The sequence below is a fragment of the Homo sapiens genome, chromosome 7 (assembly GCF_000001405.40).
Source record: "Homo sapiens chromosome 7, GRCh38.p14 Primary Assembly".
NCBI lineage: Eukaryota > Metazoa > Chordata > Mammalia > Primates > Hominidae > Homo > Homo sapiens.
Window position 1 is genome coordinate 133,754,613 of NC_000007.14, and position 25,719 is coordinate 133,780,331.

At 37.1% G+C, this 25,719-nt stretch overlaps 1 protein-coding gene and 1 long non-coding RNA gene across 11 annotated transcripts in view, besides 1 other annotated feature; both read left to right on the forward strand.

Annotated features, from left to right (window-relative positions):
- EXOC4 (exocyst complex component 4) overlaps nucleotides 1–25,719 on the forward strand; it is an 847,874-nt gene that overhangs the window by 501,535 nt on the left and 320,620 nt on the right. The window lies entirely within an intron of this gene.
- LOC124901749 (uncharacterized) lies at nucleotides 980–16,876 on the forward strand. The gene is made up of 2 exons (XR_007060533.1): nucleotides 980–9,912; nucleotides 12,622–16,876. It is a non-coding gene; the product is annotated as an uncharacterized LOC124901749 (long non-coding RNA).
- Nucleotides 16,584–16,878: an enhancer, noted in NCBI's record as "tiled region #7226; K562 Activating DNase unmatched - State 9:DNaseU". NCBI's record gives its function as "activates a minimal TATA promoter and a strong SV40 promoter by Sharpr-MPRA in K562 cells {active_cell/tissue: K562}" and the evidence as "EXISTENCE:reporter gene assay evidence [ECO:0000049][PMID:27701403]".

A 25,719-nucleotide genomic window follows, 5' to 3' on the forward strand; every position in this document is an offset into this window, starting at 1 on the left:
ATTAGCCATCATAAATGTACAGTATTGATTGATTATATGAGATGCTCTGATGTACTATGAGCTATGCATATGTACTGTTTTAAAGTCCAACTTGATTTTACTTTAATGCTAACAAATAAGACAAACATCACATATTTAGTTAATAATAATTTTCTTTCTGTCTTAGAATTTAGAAGGGCTAAGAAGTATTACTTCTAAGATGTGGTCTAAAGCTCTTCAAAGGGACTAAATTGATGCTTTCTTTTTCTCTACATATTTGCCCTTGCTCTTTATGAGGAGGGATTGTTTGCATTTTCCCACAGATCTGTAAACATAGTTTTATAGTTGCTGGTCAGTGAATGCGTATTGATGATGTTCTTTTCCCTACTTAAAACAAAAATCTTGCCAGAAATGTTGACCCTACATTTTTTCCAACATACCTTTCTCTATCAACTTAGTCTATTTAAAATATAATGAAAAGCTGAGAAACAGGCTAAAGACCAACAGAAAATAAGTGCTAACAAATCCTTCATTTACCAGTTTTATTTCTGCAAGACTTACTTGAAGTTATATAAATTCTTCACACTATGAAACAGTTAGTAAACCATTTGTTTATATATGTGTGTGTGTGTATATATATATAATATATATAATATATATATTATATATATATTATATATATTATATATATTATATACATATTATATATATTATATATATATTATATATATATAATATATATATACACATCTCTTTTTTTTTTTTGGCGGGGGGACAGAGTCTCACCCTGTCACCAGGCTGGAGTGCAGTGGCGCCATCTCAGCCCACTGCAACCTCCGCCTCCTGGGTTCAAGCGATTCTCCTGCCTCAGCCTCCCAAGTAGTTGGGACTACAGGTGCACGCCAGCACGCTCAGTTAATTTTTGTATTTTTAGTACAGATGGGGTTTCACCATGTTGGCCAGGATGTTCTCGATATCCTGACCTCGTGATCCACCCGCCTCAGCATCCCAAAGTGCTGGGATTACAGGCATGAGCCACTTCGCCTGGCATCGTTTATAATTTTTAAAAGGTCTGTAGAATAATAACAGTAACACCTAATTCCATCTGCTGAATGCCTAGCACACTAGGTTCTGTGCGCATAGGTATAGTACATGTCTCCTCTCATCCACAGAACTATGTGCTCAACCACCCTGAGCCTCTTAAACCATTTCCAAGATATTCCTGTTTTTAATTTCTTCGTGTCTAGTGTCAAGGTGTAATCTTTGATCTAAATAGCTTGCTTTTCCTTCTCTCTGTTAACCTCTTCATCCTCCATGACTTAGCTTATATTACCAGAGTCTGCATGGTGGCTGTATTCTCAGTAAGATCATTGGGAAAATAGTCTGATACTAATGAAATATTTGAATGAAGAAAAAACATCATGTTCTATCCCAACATAACTTCTTTTAGTTCCATACCCTCCAGCTCTTTTCCTCATGCATGTGTATTCTTATAAAACCACTTGTACTATTTTGTATTCTGCTTTTCTCTTACACAGCATATTTTTTCATATTTCCATATAATTTTCATAATTATCATTTTCATCATAAAAGCAATGTTAACCCATTACAGAAAATAAATCAACCATAATTACTATCTTGATGACACTTAACTGCTTTTTTTCCCCTAAGTACTCATGTTACAATTTAAGGTAAAGGGTGGGGGTATTTAGCTGAGGAAGCCTAGACTGTCACTTTTAATTTTGATAATGTTACTTTTTCACAAGAGTTCCTTCAGATTCACTTACCCTCTCTGATCTTTCATTATCTCACCTGTAGAAAAGTGTTGAGCTTGATCATCTGTAAGATTATCTCAAAAGTCCTGTTAAGCTGTAACTAGTCTGTGACTCTATGATACTCTGAATGTTATAATCCTCTCTAATGTTGGTAATTCTTCACCTTTTTGTGTCATATACCCCACTGAGAATGCGGTGAAAGTTTTGAATCCTCCTCCATTTAAAATTGCCACTCTGCACAAACACATATAATGTTTCATGCAATACCATCTGGGGATCAAGAATCTTTTGCCCTAAGCACAGGAAAGAAAAATTTATGGAAATGACATAGAATTCAGAAAGTATTCCCCACCTAACAGGTGGGAGACTTTATGTGGCTTATTTTACTCTAATATTATGCAACCAAGAAAGTAGAAAATTGGAAGATATTCTGAAAAGCATGTATAAAACACATTGCAAGGTTACATAAAATAGTGACAAAAATGAGTTCAATATATCTGGATCTGATCTGATTATTTAGTTTAGGAGAATCGCTGTTGTCAAAGATGGTGACTCTGGAAATGCTAAACTCAGGCTTCTAGAATGAGAAGGGGAAAATGGGCAAGGTCACGATGGTCTAGCTGCTTTTTAAAAATATGTATTAAGGGATTGAATATGTTTCCTAGCTTCACTGTATATTATTAGAAAATCTATCTGTGAAATTGGTTGTTCGAGATTTCGTTTTCTGTGCGTAAGTGGCTGTTCAGATGCTTACATGCTGTCTTAATACCGAAGATGCCATCCTTTTTTCCAGGGCCCTCTTCTTACATGGGAAGATAGTGGATCCTACTTTAAAATGCGATTATAGTGGGGAAATAATATAATGTTGAATGTGAGCCATTGAACACAAATTGCATTTTATGGCTATAGTTAAATGGCTCAGGATTGTTCTGCTGAGTTAAGGGAGGTGGGAGGAAGTAGTTTTAGGAAAAAAATATGAAGCATCTTACTTTTAAAAAAATGCAGATTGTGTTTGCTTTGTGATTTTGATGTTTAAAGGAGTGTCATGAGTATGCTTCAGCTTTGGAAGTGTCCAGGTTGAGATGAGAGAGAGGAATGTTAGACAGCCCTTTTCCTGAGGGATTCTGAAGTCAAAACTACTTGGTGGATTCTTCTGAGAGAGGCCTATGCCGTGGAATCCCAAGTTGGATTAAATTATGGTGAAAAAAGGACAATAATCCCACAGTGGGATATCTTCCATTGTCCGTGCAAAACCCTTCTATATTAACATTCTTGCAATACTGCAGGACTGGATAAAGACAAGGTATTCGTATATCTGGATTCACCTAAATATGTGTTTGTTCAGTGACCCCATTGGCTCCTCGTCAGCCCTGAGTGCTATTCATATGACAAATACTGTGTGGGTGCTTCTGTGTTTATAAACTCATTTAATCCCCTTAACACGCCTATGAGATAGTTACCTTACTATTATTATCCCTCATTTTTAAACAGATAAGGAGACTATCTTAAAATTTTTAACACAATTTGCTTAAGTTGACACAAGTAAATGGGAAAACAGAGCTTTGAACTCAGGATGTCGAGCTGCAGAACCTGCTTTCTTATCCAGAGGGGTTGAAGAAGGATCACATTAATGGTTGCTTTTATTTTTTGTTCAGTTGGGGGAATTTTGAATTGCTAGACTATTTAGGAAAACATCTTTATTGGGATTATTAGTAAGTGTGATCCAGGCAGAAAGTCATGAAGCTAATATGAAATAATGAAATCAGTGCATAGTTTATTTATTTTATTTTTGTTTTTGAGATGGAGTCTCGCTCTGTTGCCCAGGCTGGAGTGCAGTGGCGTGTCTCGGCTCACTGCAACATCTGCCTCCCGAGTTCAAGCGATTCTCCTGCCTCAGCTTCCTGAGTAGTTAGAGGCACGTGCCACCATGCCCGGCTAATTTTTGTATTTTTAATAGAGATGGGGTTTCACCATGTTGGCCAGAGTGGTGTCGAATTCCAGACCGCAAGTGATTCTCCCACCTCTGCTTCCCAAAGTGCTGGGATTACAGGCATGAGCCACCGTGCCCGGCCCATAGTTTATTCCTTGAATTGAATGGTTACTTATTGAATGCTTATGATATCCCAGGCCCTAGGGACAGAAAGATGATTAAAGGCTAGGTCTCAATCCCTGAGGAGCTCTCTGTCTGGGAGAAGCAGATATACAAATCAACAGGTACACAGAGTCACATATACAGATGCCATGAGGGCACTGGGGATGAACACGTGTTCTTTGTTTCACTTATATTTCGAGAATGCATATATATTTTTGATAAGTAAAATAGACACATGCTATATAGTTATACACTGAAAGTGTGTATGTGTACATCATAGTTTCATTAATTTTTCTTGCCAGACAACCAGATGATTCTTTATTAATCTTTGAAGTTTAATAACCTTACTAAGATATAGCTCTTCCCCCTGCCCCCCAGAGATACAGCATGCCTTTTTAGTCTGTAGACTACAGAGGACAAAGATCATGTTATTCATAAGGGGAAATCAAGAATTCAAGTGCTTTGGCAGTTTCAAGTGCTTAAGGAAAAAAATGCTGAAATTTTGAGGTGTCTCTAGAGGGTAAAGAGGAATAAGGAGAGGGACCACTATCATGTGGACAGAGTAGACAGTTTTAAATGTGATGAATTTTTTTGGATTTAGGGATTGCTCCCCATGCCAAAAAACCCCTACGGGCACACCTCCTAGCCCAGCTAATTTAAAACAAACAAACAAACCAACAAAAGAATTTTTTTTTTTTTTTTTTGTTAGAGATGGTATCTCACTTTGTTGCCCAGACTGGTCTTGAACTACTGGCTTCAAGCAGTCCTCCTGCTTTTATCTCCCGAAGTTTTGGGATTACAAGGATGAGCCACTGCACCTGTCCAGAATCCTTTTTCTCATGGAATATTAAACTAAGATATTATTTCTCTGAGCAGTCATCTTTTAAAACTCAAGTGGATCTGGGAGAGGCTACTAAATGATGATGAGATGATGATGGTAACATTATGATGTTTTAAAATAGTACATAGCTGCACTGTGTCTCAGGCACAGATCTACAGTGGCTTTCCAAGTACAAGTATTATCTCACTTAAAAACAGCTGTCCTATGAGTGTCCTCATTTTGCAGATGAAGAGATTTTGGCTTAATAGATTTACATAACTTTTTCATGGTTACATGACTAGTAAATGGCAGAGCCAGGATTCAAACCCTGATAGTATGACTCTTACCCCCACTGCATATAAAGTTGTCATTAGATACTTGCCACCTGGAATCATGAATTGACTCCTTTCCTGTATCCTCTATGACAGCAAACTGAGAGAAGGTCCCTGCTTAGTTGGAATTCTGATGGAGGTTGAGGGAAAAGAAGAAGGAGAAAGGTTATCAGTCCTTGGATGTTGGGGGCGTGGGGGTGGTCAGAGTTTAGGAAGGAGTACAGTAGAAGAAAAGTAAGATGGGAAGGCATTGGCCTACTCACCTGCTTTCCAGTTTGGGCTAGAAGCAGTCTCAGGTATGAGAAAAGAACATGAAAGGGCTACAGAAAAGAACTGAGAAGGAACAGTGTGCAGGTGAGAATTCAGTTTTGACTCTCCACGTCAGCACGAGTTTGGCCAATGATGAAATGGCGTAATGAGTGAAAATCCCTTACTGGCAAAATCACCAGAAAGTAAATTCTGTTTTTAGGGGTGCTGTTGTGCTGCTTAGTTCCGTGTAATCAGGCTACTCTCTTGGGACAGCCATTGTAAACACTGCCTTCCTGATAAGGATATAGCAAGTTGTATAGAGTCAAAGCCAATTTGTTTAACAGAGCCATTCAGAAGACCCTGTCCATTTTTTGTTCTTTTAATGAAGAAAGTAACGTTTTGAATGTAGTGTTTATGTATAGTGACTATATTGGAATATAATGTGTAATGCTTTCAATAAACCCAGAAACTTTTCCAAAATATTGTCTTGGTTCATAGGATGTGATATGGAAGGATAGACACCGTCTTAATATTTTCCCCCAACAGAATGTCAATTCTTAGAGTAGGGGTGGGGCAGGAAAGTGGGCTATAAAATCACTGGCTATAAAATCAACTTTTCCCCTTTGAATCTCAGAATTCAGTGTCTTCTAGGGCAGATCTCTACTCATCATCTCTACCTGATATGACCGCACACGTGAGTGCCTGGCACCTGCTCTTTCTCTTGCTCTGATGACCACTTCCTTTCTGCCCATCTGTTTTGACCTCGCACCATTCTGGAGCTTTTAGGAAAGGCATTTGTAACAAAGGCAGGACCCAGGTCTCCTGGTTTTCATCTCCGTATTGTTTTCACTATATTATAAAACCTTCTTTACTTAAAAAAAAAAAAAAGTTTAAATGTAGCCTAGCATGCTTAATGTCCTATCAGGTTGATTTAAAAGGGGCCTTTTATCTGGACAACAGAAAGTTCTGTGTAACAAAAGTATTTCCAAGGCTTAGGAAATGCTCTTATTTCAAGCAATATTTGATACAACAACATTCTAAGCAAATAAACAGATACATATCACCTTTTGTATTTCTGTTTATCATTATTTGACCCATAACACCCAGTTTTACAGCTTGATGGCAAAAAAACAAGATGGCAAATTCACAACCCTGCAGCAAAATTATCATGTGTTCAGCCTATTGATGATAAGTGAGAGGGCAAACAAACCGATAAATTAAGAATTTAGTATTAACAATAAATCTACTGGGGCTTCAGCCTTCCCTAATTAAGAAGTCTTAGAGGGAGATTAGCATTCTCTGTTGATGTTTACCTTTGAAATTTTGAACAAAGCATTGTAAGCAGAAGATGCCCTAAGGAGCATTTTTGGAAAAATCCCAACAAGTGCATAGAGCGACACAGATGAGATGATTCAATTAGCTTGGATAACACTATTTCTTCTAAAGTATCTGAAACAGACTCATGAAACTCATAAAAAGCCTTGTATTTTCTACCATATGTGAGAGTTTAAGGGTGCTTAAGAGCCTGCTTTGAAAGGTTTGCTGAATCTCTCGGTAAAAATTATTGCCGGATTATATGGAAAAGAGTCAATCTATAGTATTCTCCAATTGTCAGTGTCATCATGGAATTTAGAACTGGAAAGAGACTTTAGAACTCTTCATATCTGACTCTTTACAAAACAGTGAACTGATGCGTTGGCTGTTGACTCAGTGAAGTTCCCACGGCTGGCTTTGGCAACAGACCTAGGGCTAGACTATGTTGCCTGGAAGATAAAGAAGCATTCACTGCTCTTCCCATCCCACTGTATTGCCTGGCTAGTGTTTGATCAGCTTTTCAATGTGCGGTCAAGTTGTTGATTGAGCTAGTAACTTATAAGTGAATTATCTTTATGATTGTGTTCATTTCTAACCATGTCCCTGTGCAGTTTACGAACAATACTAATCATAAGCAAATACTTTCACCTGGGCCCAATGATTTTTACCTGTACTGACCAAGTGAACAACTTAGGCTGGCTTATGCCAGTGAAGTGGTGCTTCTCCCTCCTGACATGAGACTTCACTGAAGTGACTTGCCAAGAAGAAATGAGAAGATGGCACGTGGAGAGTCATGTGGATGCTCTTCTCTGCCTCAAGCTCAGCTCTCACGTGCTTGATCTGTTCTGTCTGTGTCCTTTAATATAAATGTTTAAATGTTTAAATGTCATTGGGTACTTGGTTATAGGAGGAGGCAGAGCTCTGAGTGGAATCCATGATGGTCCTGAGACCAGAGATATGTATTTTTTTCTTTTCATGTATGTATGTCTTATATCCCCAATTGAGAATTCTATCACTGTGAGTGATACAGCTTCAGAATCCTGAAGGCTAAGCTATTAGGTTTGAACAATATGAAATTGCTGGTTTGCAACTATATTATATCTACAAAAGGGCAAGTTCATATAGCTTAACCTAAAAAGTAAAAATCAAATGACATCAGGTATGTGCAAAAATGTCATAAATGGCTGGTGAATATATAAGAAGTTCAACATTACTAAGAGCCAAAAATTGAAAATTAAAATAAGAAACCTTTTTTTTACTTCATCAAATAGTAAACCAACAATTAGTCCTATACTTTCCTGGTTTGAGCATTGATTAATACAACCAGTAAGTATGCAAATATTTAAACTCAGTGTTTTTCACTGATAGATATTTATATCAAGGTGCTAGATTGATATGCATATAAATATTTTTGCACAAATATGTTCACAATTTGTTTATAACAGCAGAAAATGGAAAACAAACTAAATAGCAATAGGGAACGTAAGTTAATCATGCTGTATCCATATTACGTAGTGTTATATAATTAAAATTACATAATTTATTAAAATGATATTTACCAAGTGTTTTTAATGACACTGGAAAACATGTAGAATATAAGAAGTGAATAATTTCCGAATAGTATGTACAATATGATAATTGTGTAAAAAGCTGTAAACATAGAAAAGAACAAGAAAATACACCAAGACATTGATAATGTTTTGACTTTTAAGAAATATTTTTTCTTTGCTGTTTTAATTTTGTTATGCAATTAACATCTATTTTTATATCATGTATATATTAATAATTACATATTTACAAGTGTTGTATACCGATTTATAAAGTCAATATGCTCCCTGGCCAAAAGGTTAGCATGTTCACATGAAAACATGCACATAATGCGTTTCTAACAAGTTCCCAAATAGTGTTGATGCTATAAGTCTGGGGACCACACTTTGAGAATTACTAATGTAGAGAATCACCATATGGGGATATATATCCCAGTGAGTAAAACAAGTTCCTGGTGTCAACATGTATCCATTGCTACTCCCCCCTGCCACAGCCTCTGCTTCCAGGGTCAGAAACTCTTACCAATGGTCGTTGGATTTCTTTAAAACAGGGCTGAGTACCAAGTATAAATGCTGTCTCGAAGTCACCAGGCTGTAACAAATTAAAATTCCTGTCTGTATCCCTTTCACCTAGCACAGTCCATGACTTAGGAAAAAAATGTTCAGTTGTGTTGGTTGGTTTATGGAATGGATTAAGTGGTAAAGAGTACAGTTTTGAAATCATAAAAAATGAATTGGAATCTTGGCTCCATAAACTTACCCTGATGTGATGTTGGCCAGATTATGTAACCTCTTGCTCCCCGAGTTTGCTCATCTGTAAAATAACTTCATGAGGTTGTTGGAAGAAGTAAATGAGTTAATACACAAGTTTTTGAATAGCACTTAGTAAATGTTAGCAGCTGTTGTTACTGTCATATAGGATTGCTTGCATTTTTAATCTTTTTCAAAAAAGAAGAGTTATTTGAACACCTAGCCAAAAAGGAAAAAAAAAAAAGATTGCAACAGCAAACACTTTCAAGAGGGGGAAATTATAGTTTTTGTTTTGTTTTGTTTTTGTTTTTTTAATTTACTAGGGAAACTTGCGGAAAGGACTACAAAGAAAATAGAATTCTCTGAAAGTAATATGGCAGGTTTTACTGGACATTTCTGCTTTTAGTGGCTCTAACAGTCCCAGGATTTACCAACTAGGAGACCTCTCAAAAGCATATGAAAGTGTCTTAGTCTTGTTTTGATTTTTGTAGCCATAAAAAATAAACCACAAAGAAGCATGAAAGTTTTCTCTTTGGCCTCAGTAGAATTCTTTAACCTTGTGACTTTGTCCTTGTCTCTTTGTGAATGGTGACAATACTCACTCCCTTATAGGTTAGTTGTGAAGATGAGGTGAGGAATTAGCAAGGTGCCAGGCACACAGCTGATTCAGTTTCAATGTTAATTCATTTTATTTTTCCTCCCCACTTTGCCTTCTGCTCATCCTGCAGCCCACATTCCCGTCATTTTCAAACGTACAGAAGTGAAAACTGTGTTGTCACTAGGATTGGCAAACTTTTTCAAGAAGTGCTGTAAAAGTTCACAGTCTAATAATTTTTCTGATACTCCCACCATTAAAAAAACCTATGCTCTAAGAGTTAATCCAAATCGTCAAAATATGAAGTCCTCCTTTCTCTTCCAGGACGAGAAGGCTTCATGAATATTTTATGATGGCGTCTCTGTTGAGGGATGAATCCATTCCCCTCCTAGGAGAGTTCCAGCATGCTGTGGGCTGCCAGGACTTAGCCCAGGAGTGTGGTGTTTTACTGAGGCAAAGGTGACACTGGAAATTGTTTGGTTTGAGGCGTTCAGTTCAAAAACTTTCTAATCCCAGAAGAGTGAATTAATTTCCTGTGAGGATTAGGAAACAAACTTTATATCTCATATATGCACAGTTGCCATTTAATTTTCTTTTTAGGTAATATTTGAAATACTGAGAAAGTTTGTAGTTTTAAGTATATTGGGTAACATTTCTAGATAAGTTGTTTTGCCATCAGCTAACCCAGCTGGGAGGTGCTTAAGATTGATCAAGCTTTTGCTCATCTGGAGAATGATGATGTCTGTTATACATATGTACAGATCTTTGTTCTCTTTGACATCTGGAAGGTGGTGGGAAGGAGCAAATTCAAAATACAAAGACTGGTTTTAAGCCCCAGTTGTGCCACTTATTAGTTAGGTGATCCCAAACAAGTTACTTAACCTCTGCAATCTCAATTACCACATCATTAAATACAGATATGAATCGCTAGGTAACTACAGTTGTGACCATCAGCTAAGTTAAAATGTGAGAAAATTTCTACAACCAATGAAGTCCTACATAGAGGTAGATAGGACCTCTAGTCCTCTATAGAGGTAGGCTGTTGCTGCTATCTTTATGTTATACTGTTTATGAAAATAAGTTTTCTTTTCTGTAAAGTAAGCATACCTTTATTCCTTAGGGAGGGTTTACACTTTCATTGAACTGGATATTGCATCTAATGAGGATTGCTGTTTTTTTCTCCTTGATTTCAGGATTTAACATTTAAATGAAAGTGATCCCTGCCTGCCTTTGGATTGAATTTATCACTGGTTTAGAATAACATGTATGACACAAAATTTAAAAAGCTGAATAGCTGATTCTTTTTGAATGCAGAGTAGATCATATTTTCAAATGGCTTGTTCTCATTTAAAAAACCCAAGGCGAATAGAATACCTATAAGGATGGTAGGCTTGGGAATTGAAAGCTCTATGTGTGTCTCCAGATGTGCCCTGTTAACATGGACAAATCGTTTATTTCTTGATCACTAAAACCATCATAGTTTTTGTATGTTTAGGATAAAAATAAAAAGGGAGTGTGGTATTTTAAGATCTTTGTGTAGCATAGCATTGTGATGTTAAAGTTTATACTTGGGCTCATTTTAGAAATGACCTAATTAAGTCTTCCTTTTTTCTGCATTAATCGCCTTCCTTTGTATTATGATCTTTCCTATAAGGAAGCTAGCAGACTGACCCATCATTTTTCTTTCCTCAGTGTTAAATAAGAATACATATTTTAAACTTTACCTGTGAATCATATTCCTGTCTCTTTGGTAATTTATTTCCCTACTCTCTCTTTTTGTACTCAAAGTAGTATATGACTTCTAGATGACTTGCTTTCCTTTCGAAGGACAGATTACTTACTACTAGGAGCTCATGTAAAATCAGTCTTTTAAAAATATGACTTTGTCCCTCCTAGCTTAGAGATAGAGCTCCATAAAACGAAAGTGAGGATGATATCTGGTAAAGTTCAGATGGAGCTAAAGAATCAAAATCAACTGAACTTTTACCAGGAGTCCTTAGTGAAGTAATTGATTGCATTCTCCAACGCCCCTCCTTCAATAAGATTTCTGTTATTTGTTTTCTTTTACTTGAATATGGCTTTTAGGAGGCTTGTATTTAGAGTTTCTGTGCTTATGAAAAAAGAGATAGCTTTATAATTACTATGTAAGAACTATGAAGTGGGAAAGAATACATTGGCAAGACATATTACAATTACTTTGTCATGCATCTGGTTATGTTGGCATATTTGTTTAATTAAATTCCCTGCTAATTATAACTGTATGTGCTTGTGTTAATTATTATTTACCTAACACTGGTAACAGTGTAATTCTTTAAAGGAAAGCAACTCGCTTTCTATTTAAATTAAACTTCAATTTAATATGCTTCCTAAAATAATAATAGTGACATTTCATTAGAATGGTAGTTGAAAAATCTTTATCTACCTCAGTGGAATTTGGACTGGCTAAAATTTAACAGAGTTGTTTTAATATCAGATTGTAATTAGGGATCTTAAAGTTAGAGTAAAATGGTTAACATGGCCAAACCACCAGCTGATGCTGCACATGGTTCATCTGCTGAAGGAAACATTTTCATCCTTTAAGGAAAACCTTGCCTGCCCTTCCAAACTTCCTGATCACCTACTATAGAAGAGAGAGGGAGGAAATTATACTTGACAATGATTCTCAAAGACCTAATTAGAAGTGGGTCTAATATATTCTCTGAAGCATTTGTTTAAAAGTCAAATTGCCCAGGTCACTTGGTTATGATCACTCACCCAGATACTTAGTATATGTGTAAGCTTTTTCAGGGTTGCAAACCTATTCGAGTTAAAATTGAACTCCCAGTGGAGTTGAGTCTTTCCCATTTCATTCACTTCATCCTCTCTGTTTCAAAATTCTTCTACCTCTACAGATATCTTCTTCCTCTCACCCTTTGTCAGACGCTAGATATTTTTAAATTTCCCTTACTTATCCTAGTGATAAGCGGGGAACTCTGATTTCCATAGCTGCTCCTTCTTTTTGCATGCATACTTGCATCTTTTCAGAGAGTTTGACTCTTACCTGGTTTTTTTTTCCTTCAATTTAAAACTACTTCCTCTCTCTGAAATGCCAATCTAAGAAAATTTGCAATTTCTTCTACCTAGTCACTCTCCCTAATTTACATCAAAAACTTTCTTTTCTATCACAAGAGCTGGATCTTTGGCTCCAGACAGAAACGAGTTTAAAACATGCCTCTTCAGGTAAGTTGCTAATTTTCTGAGCCTCAGAGTCCTTATTTATAAAATGGGGTGCTCAATGATGACAGCCATCTAGGGCTAGACAGAAGGTGAAATGACGTAACATATGTAAAGCATCTAATTCATAGTAGGCTCCAATTAAACAGTGGCCTTTTATATACACACACACACATACACACACACCCCTTATATATGTGATGTTTTATATGTACCATGTACACACCACTGAGTTCCTTTTGTCATATTCTCACACTCTTATTTCAAGAGACAAAATATACCAACAAATGAGACAGAAGCTACTAAAAGTGCTTTTCAAGCTTTCTTAGCAGTGAAAAGTCTTTTCAACTGCAATCTTACATGAAAACATATGAAACTTATGTGAAACAGAGAAAGGGGTAACTGCTGTCCATGAAATACAAGGTCCTTTTGTGTTCTAAGTCAGACCCTGCAAAATCAGATAGTTCTGAGGTATATAATTTAAAAGCTACTGAACCATTATTTTGAATTCACTCACATTAATGAGTGCCCACTACATGGTAGGAACTGTGCTAGGACTAGACACAAAGACAAGGCATAGTCCTTCCCGTGAAGGAGTTCATAGTCTGGTAGACAACCTCTTTGAACTCTTAGATTCAGCAATTCTAGATTCGGTTAAAGTAGTTTTAGGGCAATATGCATGGCATAAATGGAATGTGTAAGTACCTAGGGGATAGAAAGTTGTGCTTATCCATGAACTCATCTGAGAAGGCTTTCTTTGGTGATGATTTGAACAGTTTGAGCCTTGATTGTCAGGAGCGGAAATGAATCCTCGTGTAAACAAAAACCTCTGCAAGACTATCAAGGACTAAGACAGAAGACTAAGAAACCCTGGTAGGAAACAACAAACATATTGCTTATCACATTTATCCTCTTAAATGGGAAAGACGGAACTAGGAAGCTGGAAATGAGGTAGAAGGAAAGAGAAAGGACCAGTTGTTTGATGATTTGAAATAAACATTTTTTATTATGAGGAATATAGATTTTTTTAATTAAGAAAAAGTGCAATTCAGAAAGAATGCTATTGTCCATCTTGAAGTCTTTATTGTCTCCCCCACAACTCTTCCCCAGTGTCAACTGCGAATGGGCAATCAGGCTGCTGTCCAGGAGAGAGAGGCCCTAGGGTATGTAAAATACTGCAGAGAAATCTACTGTGTCTACAACAGCAACTGGTTCTCTAGGAACCTAAAAATAGTCAAAACTTCTTTTCAAGTTCAAACTGTCACCAAGATTAGTTAATGAACCTTAATTGGCAAAATGAAAATGCTGCGTTATTTTTTGAGAAGGATTCTTAGTTATCATATGAAATTTGTATCTGGTTCATAGTAAAGTGTTATTTATTAGCCACACTTTAATGAATTCCCTAAAATTTGTTGCTGAATTTAGGAGAGATGTTCAGTTCAATTCAACACTCTTTGAGATTGACTATCATGTATCAGGCACTGTATTAAGTGCAAGAGTAAAAAGGCATGGCCCTTCTTCTCAGAGAGCCCATGGTCTAGTGAAGGAGTCAGATGAGTAAGTAGATAATTATGAAATATTGTGGTAAGTGCTATGGAAGAAATCTAAAGAACAGGTTATAGAAAAGAGGATGTCACATCAGAGGCCACGACACTTAAACTGAGTCTTTCAGAATGAATGAGAAATTAGGCAGATGAAGACAGAGGGAAGGATGTCCTATGTGCCGTTAACGTGCAAATCACATACGCTTGGATGTCTGATACTTGGGCCGGTTAACTTCTCTGAACATGACTTTCCATATCTTCATTGAGTGTTTATCACAAAACATTGTGAGAATTGCACGTGCAAATGCAGGTAAAGAGGCTACTCAATCCTGGTGCATAGTCATTTACAAATAAGTTGGTTTCCACCATGGCACACGTATGCCTGTGTAACAAACCCACACATTCTGTACTTGTATCCGGAACTTAAAGTAAAATAAAAAATAAAAATACATAGATTGTTTTTTTTTTAAGTGTTGAAAGCTGGGCTTTCATTGCCAAAGAAGGCAAATGTTGGTGTTTCATAGCAGCTGAATTTGCCAACCACCTACCCAGTGGTTAGGCTACTAAAGTGGAAAGTTTCATTCCCAATTAATGCACCATTTTTCTCAGAGACTTTGAACAGACATGTTTTTGATCCATCAAATCTTTCTGTCCTGGGGTTGTGTTTGGTTTTTATTCCAATTCTAAGGTCTGTCTGAACACGCTGTGCCTTGAGCCATGTAGCACACAGAAGGACAAATGATTTCTTCTTATTATTCTTTTTATTAACAATTGAAGGGAATAGTTAACATTTAAGAAAAAAAAAGACTGACTTGAGAGAAACTTTTGGTTATTTTCTAGTGAGGGAAAAAAAGCTCTAAATGCAGTATGTCAATCTTGTTTCCTAGATAACAAAGCAAATCTAAAACAGTTTTGAACTTTTTTCCTTATTCCCTTTATCATGAATGTTTAATATCCAAAGGAGCCAATTTTTGTTGAGAATTAGCTTCCAGGTTTGGAGGCTATTAGCAATCACCACAGGGAGCCTCACACTCCAGTTCTATTTCCCATCCTTTTTCCTGAATCAGAATCATTTTCTGTGTAGTTATAGCAAGTGCCTCGGTTTTGCTAGCCTCATCTGCTGTTTTTAAATGTCAGCCTCTGCCAAGCTGAAACATCATGAAAGTAATCAAATTATGTATTAGGAAAGAGTAGATCATTGCTTCAATAAACTTGCCAAAATCAACATGTGTAGCCATCTATACATGTGGAATGTCACTTTGATCCCCCATAGCTATTTCAGTAATGTCATAAATGTTCTCATAATCATTTTATAATCATAATATTAGTTAACTATTACATTTTATCACTTAACTCGTGCTAAGCATTTAGCTTGTATTACCCACTTTACCTGTACAATAGTTCTCTCAGGTAGATGCTAGAGTGTTATCCAGGTTATTGTGAGGAAGCTAAGGCACAAGAAATTAAGCAACTTGCCCATTAGCCTACAGCTAACAGTCCTGGATTCATACCCAGGCCTGTGTGATTCCAGAGCCCATGCTCTTAAATGCTAGGCTACACCTCCTTCTTTTTATCCTTCTGTGATCGTTAAAAAAGACATGACAGTTGTTGCTGTAAACCATAATTTGATGTCTTATGATAACACTTAACTAGCTTATTGGTGGTTTTGTTTGTAAACATTGAAAGTAAGCTTTAGCCAATGCACACTTAATCAGATTTGTATTCAGCAAGTGTGCTTTTGCTAATAGTAAGCCAGACATTGTATCAGGCATCAGGGTAAACATACATATACATATGTATATGTCCCGACCTTGAGGAGGTCATATCTAGCTGGGGAAACTTACAAATTGTACATAATCCATTATCCACAATTCCAAATTCCAAAATGCTCTGAGAAATGAAATTTTTAAAATATGTAGACTCATTTAGCCTAATTCCTGAATTCATATGAGGCCACATTATATATAGCCTTTGTTTGTACCTCTTAATATAATTTTTCATACATGTGTTTGATTATGAGGTGCTACCCTAAGCTCTCCTGGCATTGTTGCATAATACATAGTAAATGCCCTGAAAACCTTTCTAAAATCTGAACTTTTTGAATTCTGAAATATATCTGGTCCTAAGAGTTTAGCAGAAGGGATTGTGGCCATACATGAATGGACATGTTGTAGCCCAGCAAAAGGAATGATTTACTTCCCATGATTGAGTTAAAGATTCACAGAAGAGGCTGCAGGCAGTGAAACTGGAATTTACCAAAGTTGTTTTGGCAGCCTAGGCAGAACTGAAGTTACAGCCAAAGATATAGACTTATAGAGAATCTGGGGAGGGTATACATGGAAGACAGGACTGGAAAGGCAAGTTGGCACCAGATTATGGAAGGCCTCCCATGTCACAGGAGAATGCATTCTTTTTCTATCAACTGACAGGCTCTTTTCTGATTTCCTTCAGCCTCATTTGCTGTTGTACCTTGCTTTGTTGCAGTGTGTCATGGATCCATTTGGAGAAGCTGATGAGTCATCTTGTGAAAGAAAAAATGAATTGAAGGACATTGCTTACTTTCTGTGTTGATTCAGGCCTCATTTCATCTTAACCCCCTAGTTAGAGGACATCAGTAATGATTCAGTCTCTGCAACTCATTCCTAAATAAAATTAATTGGAAAGTAGATAGCTCTCTAATAACCATGCTTGTTTTTGCATAATAGAAGGAGAAAAGGATTAAATTCTTTGTTCTAATTAATAGGAATGAAAATAGAATTGCAATCCGTGGTATGGCAAAATGAGAGAAAATAAGGCTTGTAAGTAATTTTCATGGTTGTTTAGGAATAATTGTTTCATTATTGAGTTAATAGTTTTTACAAACAGCTTCCATTTCCATATCATATTGCTACAGTCGCTCTTTATTGAGATTGCCTCGGCAGAAGATGACAAGAAGTTGTTTTAAATCCATCACTTGTCTAAAATATGAGTTCCAAAGTAGTTAGGGGAGGGTATGCAGCAGGAAAGAATGAGGTATGGGAGGGAAACAGGGGGTCAGATTGAAATCAGTTGATTAATAAGACAACAAAATTCATTCACCAGCTTGTTTCAAAGGAGACTCTTATTATTCTGGAAAGAAATTAGACATCAGATCCCTCATAGGCCCCAGGCTCTGACATGTGTTTTATAATGACAGTTAATTAGATACTGTCTGCAGCAATCATAGGCTGTCATTTCTAATACATTTCTGGGAAGTTGAAGGACAGGAGAAGTCACCCCCTCCTCATATTCCCCCTTCCCGTAACTGAAATCGGTTGCCAAAATTAACTGTGAATATATGAGGCACGAGTTCAACAATTATACAGCCGTTCTGCACATTTATGTTTCCTACTTAGTATGTACTCTGCATTCCAGGCTGGTCTGGGCATGCATTTTGCAGACAGAGATGTTACTGCAGCCCTGGTAATATTTAGGAACATCTCACACAGCAGTCTAACACCTGGTCTTAAGTGGAAGATGCCACTTGTCATTGCAACTTATGCATTAGAACACAAAGAATCTTTCACACCATTAAATTCAAACTAGCAGGCTTCCCTCTTTTCTAAAATAGAACTTGCAATGCATTAACTAAAGTCATCTATTCTCACATGTGCACCAGCACGGCACATGTATACATATGTAACTAACCTGCACAATGTGCACATGTACCCTAAAACTTAAAGTATAAAAAAAAAAAAAACCTTAAATTTGAATAATTCCTGCAGTAGTACTTAACCTAAATTTTTCATGCTTCCTTTTATCAAACATCATTATAACATGACCATAAAGTATAATATTTCTTAAAAACTAAGCCATGAGGTAGAAACCATGTTGAAATCATAGATGTTAACATTTTAAGCATTCTCAGAAATTCTCTAGTCCAATCATTTTGGTCTGCAAACAAGGACATTTGAGTCTCAGAATGCTAAAGTAATTTGCCAAGATTGTGCAGTTTCTGGGCAAGCCTGACTTGCAATTCCATTCTCCTGAGTTCTACGCTGTTACTCTTTCCCCTTAAGAGCACTACCTAGTGACATTACCTGAGTAACTTTGGGCTAAGCCCTGGATGTTTCTGAGCTTGAGAGTCCTAGTCTGTAAAATGGACATAGGAATAATATGTACCTCATAGAATTACAGTGAGCGTCAGTGGGGAAGCCACTCCAAAGCCTTCAGTAAGACTCCAAGCAACCTTACGTTGCCTTCTGATTGCTTTTATCCTTAGGTGTCCCTAGGTCATTGCTTTCATCCCAGAGCATGCCTGGAGCTTGTAAGTGCCTCCTAAGGGACATAAGAAGGCTCTCAGTGCCTTTGTGATTGAAAACCATACTATTTTATGGGCCACCCAGTACATTTGTTTCTTATTTTAGAGACATGCCCACTCAAGCCATGTGCTGAAATTCAAGCTTTTTCAACCCAAGTTATCATAACTGGTGTCTCTAGGACAGTGCTTCCCAAACATGCTTCCCAAACATGCCAGAGGAAGAATTACCTGGAGAATGTTTTAAAAGTACAGATTCTCGCTCCCTGACCCACTTAATGCCCTTCTGTCAATTCCCCTTGAAAGAAAACCTTTAGTACAAGAAGTGTGGAGAAGAGTCTGTTAATCTGTGTATTTACTAGGTTTTTATTATTATTATTATTATTATTATTATTTTTCTTTTTGAGCTCCCTGGACAATTGTGAAAAACAGCCAGGTTTTAGAGTGCCTGGCTCTATCAGAGCAGATCATACCATACCCAAAATATGCTAGCTTTAACAGCTGCTAAAATATCTGGGTACTTTTTGTGGGTTCTAATTAACTTTCACATGTTGGGGGTTGAAATATCATCAGTGAACTGATAATATAAATTTTTGGATGCACTGGCACTTCTTTCCTTGCACTTATGTACTCATTCATGCACAAAGCTATCCAGCACCCACTGTCACCACCCGGGCTACAACCCTTCTAATCTAAATGGATTATATAGTAGATAGCTGCTATTGTCTGTGAAGATAAGCCTGCTGTCTGCTACCAGTAGAAGACATGTTTGAGATTTGTTTCGTTTTATTTTATGGTGGTAGTGGTTTTAATCCCCTCATACCCACCATCCAAATAATATGGCTGGTTTTGTATTAGGCCGTTCTTTCTTACATCTGGTTTCCTCATAATCAAAGATACAGATTTTCAAAACACGTAGCTGGGATTAAGGATATGGTGTGTGGTACTGGTTATTCTCTGTGCAAAATAAACTGGGATCAGAAAGCATATTAAGCCATAAAACAAGGCCTGACCTTGTATGATTCTCTACCCAATGAGCTAACCAGCCAGGGCAGAGTTGGGAAGGCTACAGGATTGTAGGCCATTAACATCCCCGAAGAGCCAGGCTGATCTCTTGTATTATTCTCAGGCATGAGCAGAGAGTGTATGCAATAGCCAGTTCCATATGTTACTATAATGGTTCACTTGCTTTCTAAATGAATGCAGCCTCCTTACCAGCTGTGGACTCTTAGTGTTTGTAAAGGTTTAAAGATGCCCCAGTAGGAAGTAGAATGACATTGAATAAAGATGTTGAAAAAAAGAATGCAACCAAAGATGACGAGATAGTATATATTAAAGTTAGTTTAGCCAGAGCCCAGCACATAATAAGCTTTCAATAAATGTTAACTCCAGTTGAGGTTATTACTATTATTCTTGTGCCATCGTCGTTTAACTCAAATTATTACTGATCATCAGTGGCATATTGACTATGGATGTGAAGCATAGAAAGTTCAAGACATTTAACTTGATTTTCTAGAAAACAGCAGTTTAAACAATCTACTTTTTTCAAGCCTAACTTCTTACCCTATTTGTGCATATTATAGTATATGGTCCTTAACTTATGGACATTAGTTCTGAATTCATATTTCCATTGGGTTTAGTGCATTGGATGTTTTAGGTGAACTAAATGGGCTGTATGAAGCTCATCTCTGGAGTAATTTCAAGAATCACTGAGGCTTATGGATAATTCACATTGTCAATTCAAAGTTTATGATTATTTTTCCCTAAAGACTCTTAATCCTCCACCCAGCTTGCTCCCCCGCCCCTCCCCCACCACTTTATTAGTTGAATAAATAAGGATGAAAACATGGCTAACCTGACGAAAGTCTATTCTCTCTAGCAGTGGCCCAGATGTAGGGCAGTGGAATAGAGCACTGTCTTTACCCCTGGGACTCCAGGTCTGCAGATTTTAAAAAGAGTTAACTCTATGGAGCTATAATTATGGCAGTTTTTCAAAAAGGTAGACAGCATTTTACATGATTTTTTTGTTCTTAGTTTGTCTTGTCAGAAGTGAGGAATTGCATTTCCCTCCTAAACTCTTTACTAGGTTGTGCCATGTGCCAGGATTTCTTAATGTCTTTAATCTGTAATGTGCCTAATCTTTGGGGGAAAAGGAGTAGAAATCAACATGCATGAAATGCACAGCCTTCATGTGTTAGGCTTTGTCTCAGTTAGACGAGTGTACATGGATCATTTGTAGCTTGTAGCATGGAGAAATGACGTCAAGCCACCTGTGAAGCCATTCATTTAAGCAGTCAGTTTGACAATCTCACAGGGTGATCTGCGAACACGTGACCTTCTTAATCTGGGTACACAATGTAGCTCTGTTTATATATTCTTGTCTTTTAGTTTATTGTCTTTAATAAAGTTAGCAAGAGGATAAATTAGTTTTATCTGCCAAATATATAACAGGTGCATCAGCAGGCATGTCTATAACTATACTAAGGCTATCTGGGATGTATTCTCCCTATAGTTTTTCTTTGTATTAAGTACAGAGGGAGAACTGTTGCACAGTTAAAGCATCAAAATGTCTAAGAAAATGTACAGGATTTTTTCCCTATCCATGTCTCCTGTGGGGCATCCGTAAGCCTTTCATTCACTTTTCTATTGCACATCCTAAGAGACAGTTGGACTGATTTCGCACTTTCAGTGAAGAAAGTCATGGCTTATAGACCATGTGGGATGTTCTTCTGTCTACATTAGAAGAATTGAACTTTGATGTTCTCTACTTTTCTTCACTTCAGGAAAGGATTTCTAGGAGATATAAGATTAGGCTCGATGCTAGAAGGAAACCACATCATCAGTTATCTAGAAGGAATTGCATCTATCTTCTTTTTACTTATAGTCTTAATAGACTTAAGATTTATTGGGCATTATTGGGCATTCTGTAGATAAAAAGCACTCTTAAAGAAATAAAGCAAAATAAGTTGGATATCTATTTCTAGCTGGGCTAGAAAGCTAAAGCAAGTAGGGACTTCAAGTTGCAAGCATGATTTTAAAGAATAGGTTAGCAACTTAAAGATACTGAGTTTTTCAGTTTCTTTTTCCACCATCTCTTTATTGTCACGAGTCTATTTTCTAATTCCACCCGTCGGTTCTATGAATACAAATGGTGTTGTCTTTATGTTGTTGCAAAATAAAGCAACAATGCAGCATCCTCCTTAAAGTCTACTCTCTCTCCTTTTCTGATCCTGCCAACTGAGATGACATGGTTTGTATGTTAGTTTCGGTTCCATATTAATTTATTCAGTCATTTTTCAGGAGTTAATTGAACATCTTGTCTCTTGTTCCAGACATTTGGCACGTGTTGCCCCAAGCCCAATTCCTTTATGTGGAAAAAGGGTCTGCCAAAGAAGGCTAATTTACCTTCTTGTGAATGAAGGACTCCAGAATGTGAATGATGGGTTGGGATCCATTGTCAGTGTGGACACGAGTCATTTACTCTTCTGTCTAATTTTTTAGATCATGGGTAATTTATGAAAAATTCAATTCATGTTTGATTTGTACCCTCTTAAATCATCAACATATTATTTTTTAAGAGTTATCAAGTGTTCAAGAGCTAACATTTGGCTTAGAGTAAGCCTATTCATATGCCAAATAATTTGGAAGAAGTACAGAAACCTATTGCTTTGGGTCTTCAAATGGATGATCTTAACAAAGTATGATTCTCTGTGTTTCTTTATTGCATGTTATGGGCCATGAATTTGTTCCCTGCTTTACTGATGTCCTCCTAATTGCTTGATATCTAAGAATACTTATCTGTAATTCACTGCCATATTAAAAATACGAAACAAAGCTGTCCTGTAACAAGAAGGTCCATTTAGCCTTCTGAAAAGTAACAAAAATGAAAACAAAAAGGAGCAGGAGCTTTAAATTTGTTCTAAATACAGGACCATTTGAGAGCCAAGAGAATTAATTTATATTTTTAAACATTATTTTATAAATATATTTTGTTGTTGATTTTTTATATTTAGTCTGCTAAGATTATAGATTTAAAATGGTGAGTTTTACCAGGATCTTTAATGATTCTTGTTGCCTATCAAGCAGAATTCTTTGAGCACAGTATTTATCAGAACTTCTCCTGAGATTGAAGATCATGTATACTTTCTTCTAGGCCTGTGCTTAGTCTAAGAGAGAGAGAAAGAGAGAGAGAGAGAGAGAGAGAGAGAGAGAGAGAGAGAGAGAATATATATATATATCAATTAAATGTGATTGTACTAGACATTTTCAGAAGAAATTATCAGGAAACGTTGTTACTGAATTCTATATCCAGGTCTGATTCAGACAATCTGAGGATCACCTTTTGGACCACAATGTATAGAAAAATACTTCCTGCAGAGGGTTATGTGAGAAGTTGCTACTCTAGAGCTGAAAAGGGCTTTCACATTCTTAGGGCATTTATTCTAAGAAACAGGACAGTGTTATGATTATTGGTGGAATGAGGATGCACTGATTTGGAATTGTAGTAGAAAGTGGATGAGTAACATAGATGCGAGATGGCAGCACATAGTTGGGAATGCAGACTATCTGGGTTCAAATTCTGACCCAGTCACTAATTAGCTTTGTGACCTTGAGCAAGTCGCTAAACCTCTCTGTACTTTGGTTTCCTCATGTGATATATGGGGATGATAATGATCAGTACCACCTTTTATAAGGTTGTTGTAAGGATTAAGCTTGTTAATACATGTAAAGTTATTAGAAAATCCTCTGGCGTATAGCTAGTATATATGAATGACTATTATCATGAGTCGTTATGAAGTTTGTCTTGGTGCATACTTTACCCAGGTAATAGTCTGTGCTTTCTGGAATTACATCATCTCTGCATCTCTGTGCTAATTAAAGCCTACATGTCTAGTAACATTCATTCTCCGTCTTCCATTTTTTAAAAAAATGTCTCTGAAAGGTTTATAAAAATATACTTGATTGAGAATTACAGGCATTCTCCCAAGAATATTTACATTTTAACCAGGACTGTGCCATGATTAAGACAAAGGAAAGGTCCAAAGTATTACGAGTTTTGACCCAAGTTGCCATCCATCCTACTCCATCTCTTGATGCTTATCTTAGGGGGGGTAATTAGTGAGAAAAGAAAAATGTAAAGCAAGTTCCTCATGAATCCCTTATTAACTTTGAACAGGACTCAGTCTGAGATATTATCTCATTTAAGACTTCTCGGGTCAGGCATGGTGGGTCACACCTATAATCGAAGACCAGAAGAGAGACAGGAGGATCACTTGAGCCCAGGAGTTCGAGACCAGCCTAGGCAACATACGGAGACTCTCTCTACAGATAATAAAAAATTAGCTGGGCTTGGCGTGTGCCTGCAGTCTCAGCTACTGGGAAGGTTGAGGCGGGAGGATGGCTTGGGCCCAGGAGGTGGAGGTTGCAGTGAGCCGTGATCACACCACTGCACTCCAGCCTGGGCAAGAGAGTGAGACTCTGTCTCAAAAAACAAAGACTTCTCTACTATTCTAAGATGCAGATAGGTCAGAAGGTTGTGACCACTGACTGTATCCCACGATTACTCATTCAGAAAGTTAGCATCGTCTAACCAAAGTTTCAGAGGTGCATCCTCTTCATTCTATCATACAGAAGAAACAATGCTCAAGCAATAATTGCTTTATCGAATCCCTTATTAGTCTATAATGTGGTCTCTGTTATGTCATTTTTTTTCTTTTAATTTAGTTCTACTAAAATGCTAACATTGTTTTCCTTCTGATTTAGCCTCACATGGGCTGCATCAGAGATTTTTAAATAAATTGTTACAGTGTTAATTAGGATTTCATGGTCAGGCTCCATTCCTTTAATAGATACGATATGATTTGGCCTTCTCTGTATCTTCAAATAAGCAGTCCTCAAACATCCTTATGATCTCTCCTGCTGCCTTAGAAGATTTGAGATAATGGAGGGATGATGAAGCAATCATACAAAATCTATTGATTCACCTTGGTGAGTATCATTTATACATCAGTGAGTACCTTGGTTGCAAAATTACCTTTGGAGTTTAAATGTCATTGCAAAGTTGTATTGGAAAGGTAATTTTGTTTTGGTAGGCCACAGGGTTTTGCTTTCTGATACTGTAAAATTTATATCTACTTGCCATTTTCATCATATAAGTGAGAGGTTTAAATGCTATGTATTTAATGCCCCTGTCTATAAAAATGAGGATTTTTTTTTAATGGCTTTCTCAATACTACTAACTCTTATTTTTGCCGCAGTGTTGAGAAGTACGGATTTATGATACTATAAAATGCAAAGAATAGGGTGGAAAGAAGGAACACTTCAAATATCACAGAAGCTCTGTTCCTTGAAACTTTTCTTACTTCAAGTAGGCCTTTGGATCATTTTGGACATTTCAATTATTGAGTTCTTGATATTTAGGTCAGAGGACTTATCCTTGAGAGGTGGGACTTGCTGGGTCAGTGAGGACTTGGAGAAATTTTCTGTAGCTAGCTAGAGGTTTGTAAAATGCACCAATCAGTGCTCTGTAAAAATGCTCCAATCGGTGCTCTGTGGCTATCTAGGGGTTTGTAAAATGCACCAATCAGTGCTCTGTAAAAACGCACCAATCAGCGCTCTGTAGCTAGCTAGAGATTTGTAAAATAGACCAATCAGCAGCCTGTAAAATGGACCAATCAGCACACTGTAAAATGGACCAATCAGCTCTCTGTAAAATGGACCAATCAGCAGGACATGGGCGGGGACAAATAAGGGAATAAACCTGGCCACCCCAGCCAGCAGCAGCAACATTTATTGTGAAGAGGGAATGCTGCTTCTCACTCTTTGGGTCCCTGCTGTCTTTAAGAGCTGTAACACTCACCACGAAGGTTGGCAGCTCCATTCTTTAAGTCAGCGAGACTGTGTACCCACCGGAAGGAACAAACTCGGGACACACCCTGATGGTGTGCTGGCGATAAAAGCAGTGTGTTCTGGGGAGTTGGAAGAGCAGGGGTTAGATGCTGGAGGGATTTTGCTTGACAAGTCATATTATCAAAAAACTAGTGGTCACTAATAGTTTTTTACAACTAGCTATGTTTTTATTTCTAGTCATGAAGCAGTGCCCTAAATGCTTTAGTAAGCATAGTTAATATGCTTCCCAAAAAAAAAACCTTCCTTTTCTTTGTATTTGAAATAATTTTCTTCCTGTAATTGCTTTTGAAGAATCTAAAAAAAAAAAAAGCCATACTTTTAGCG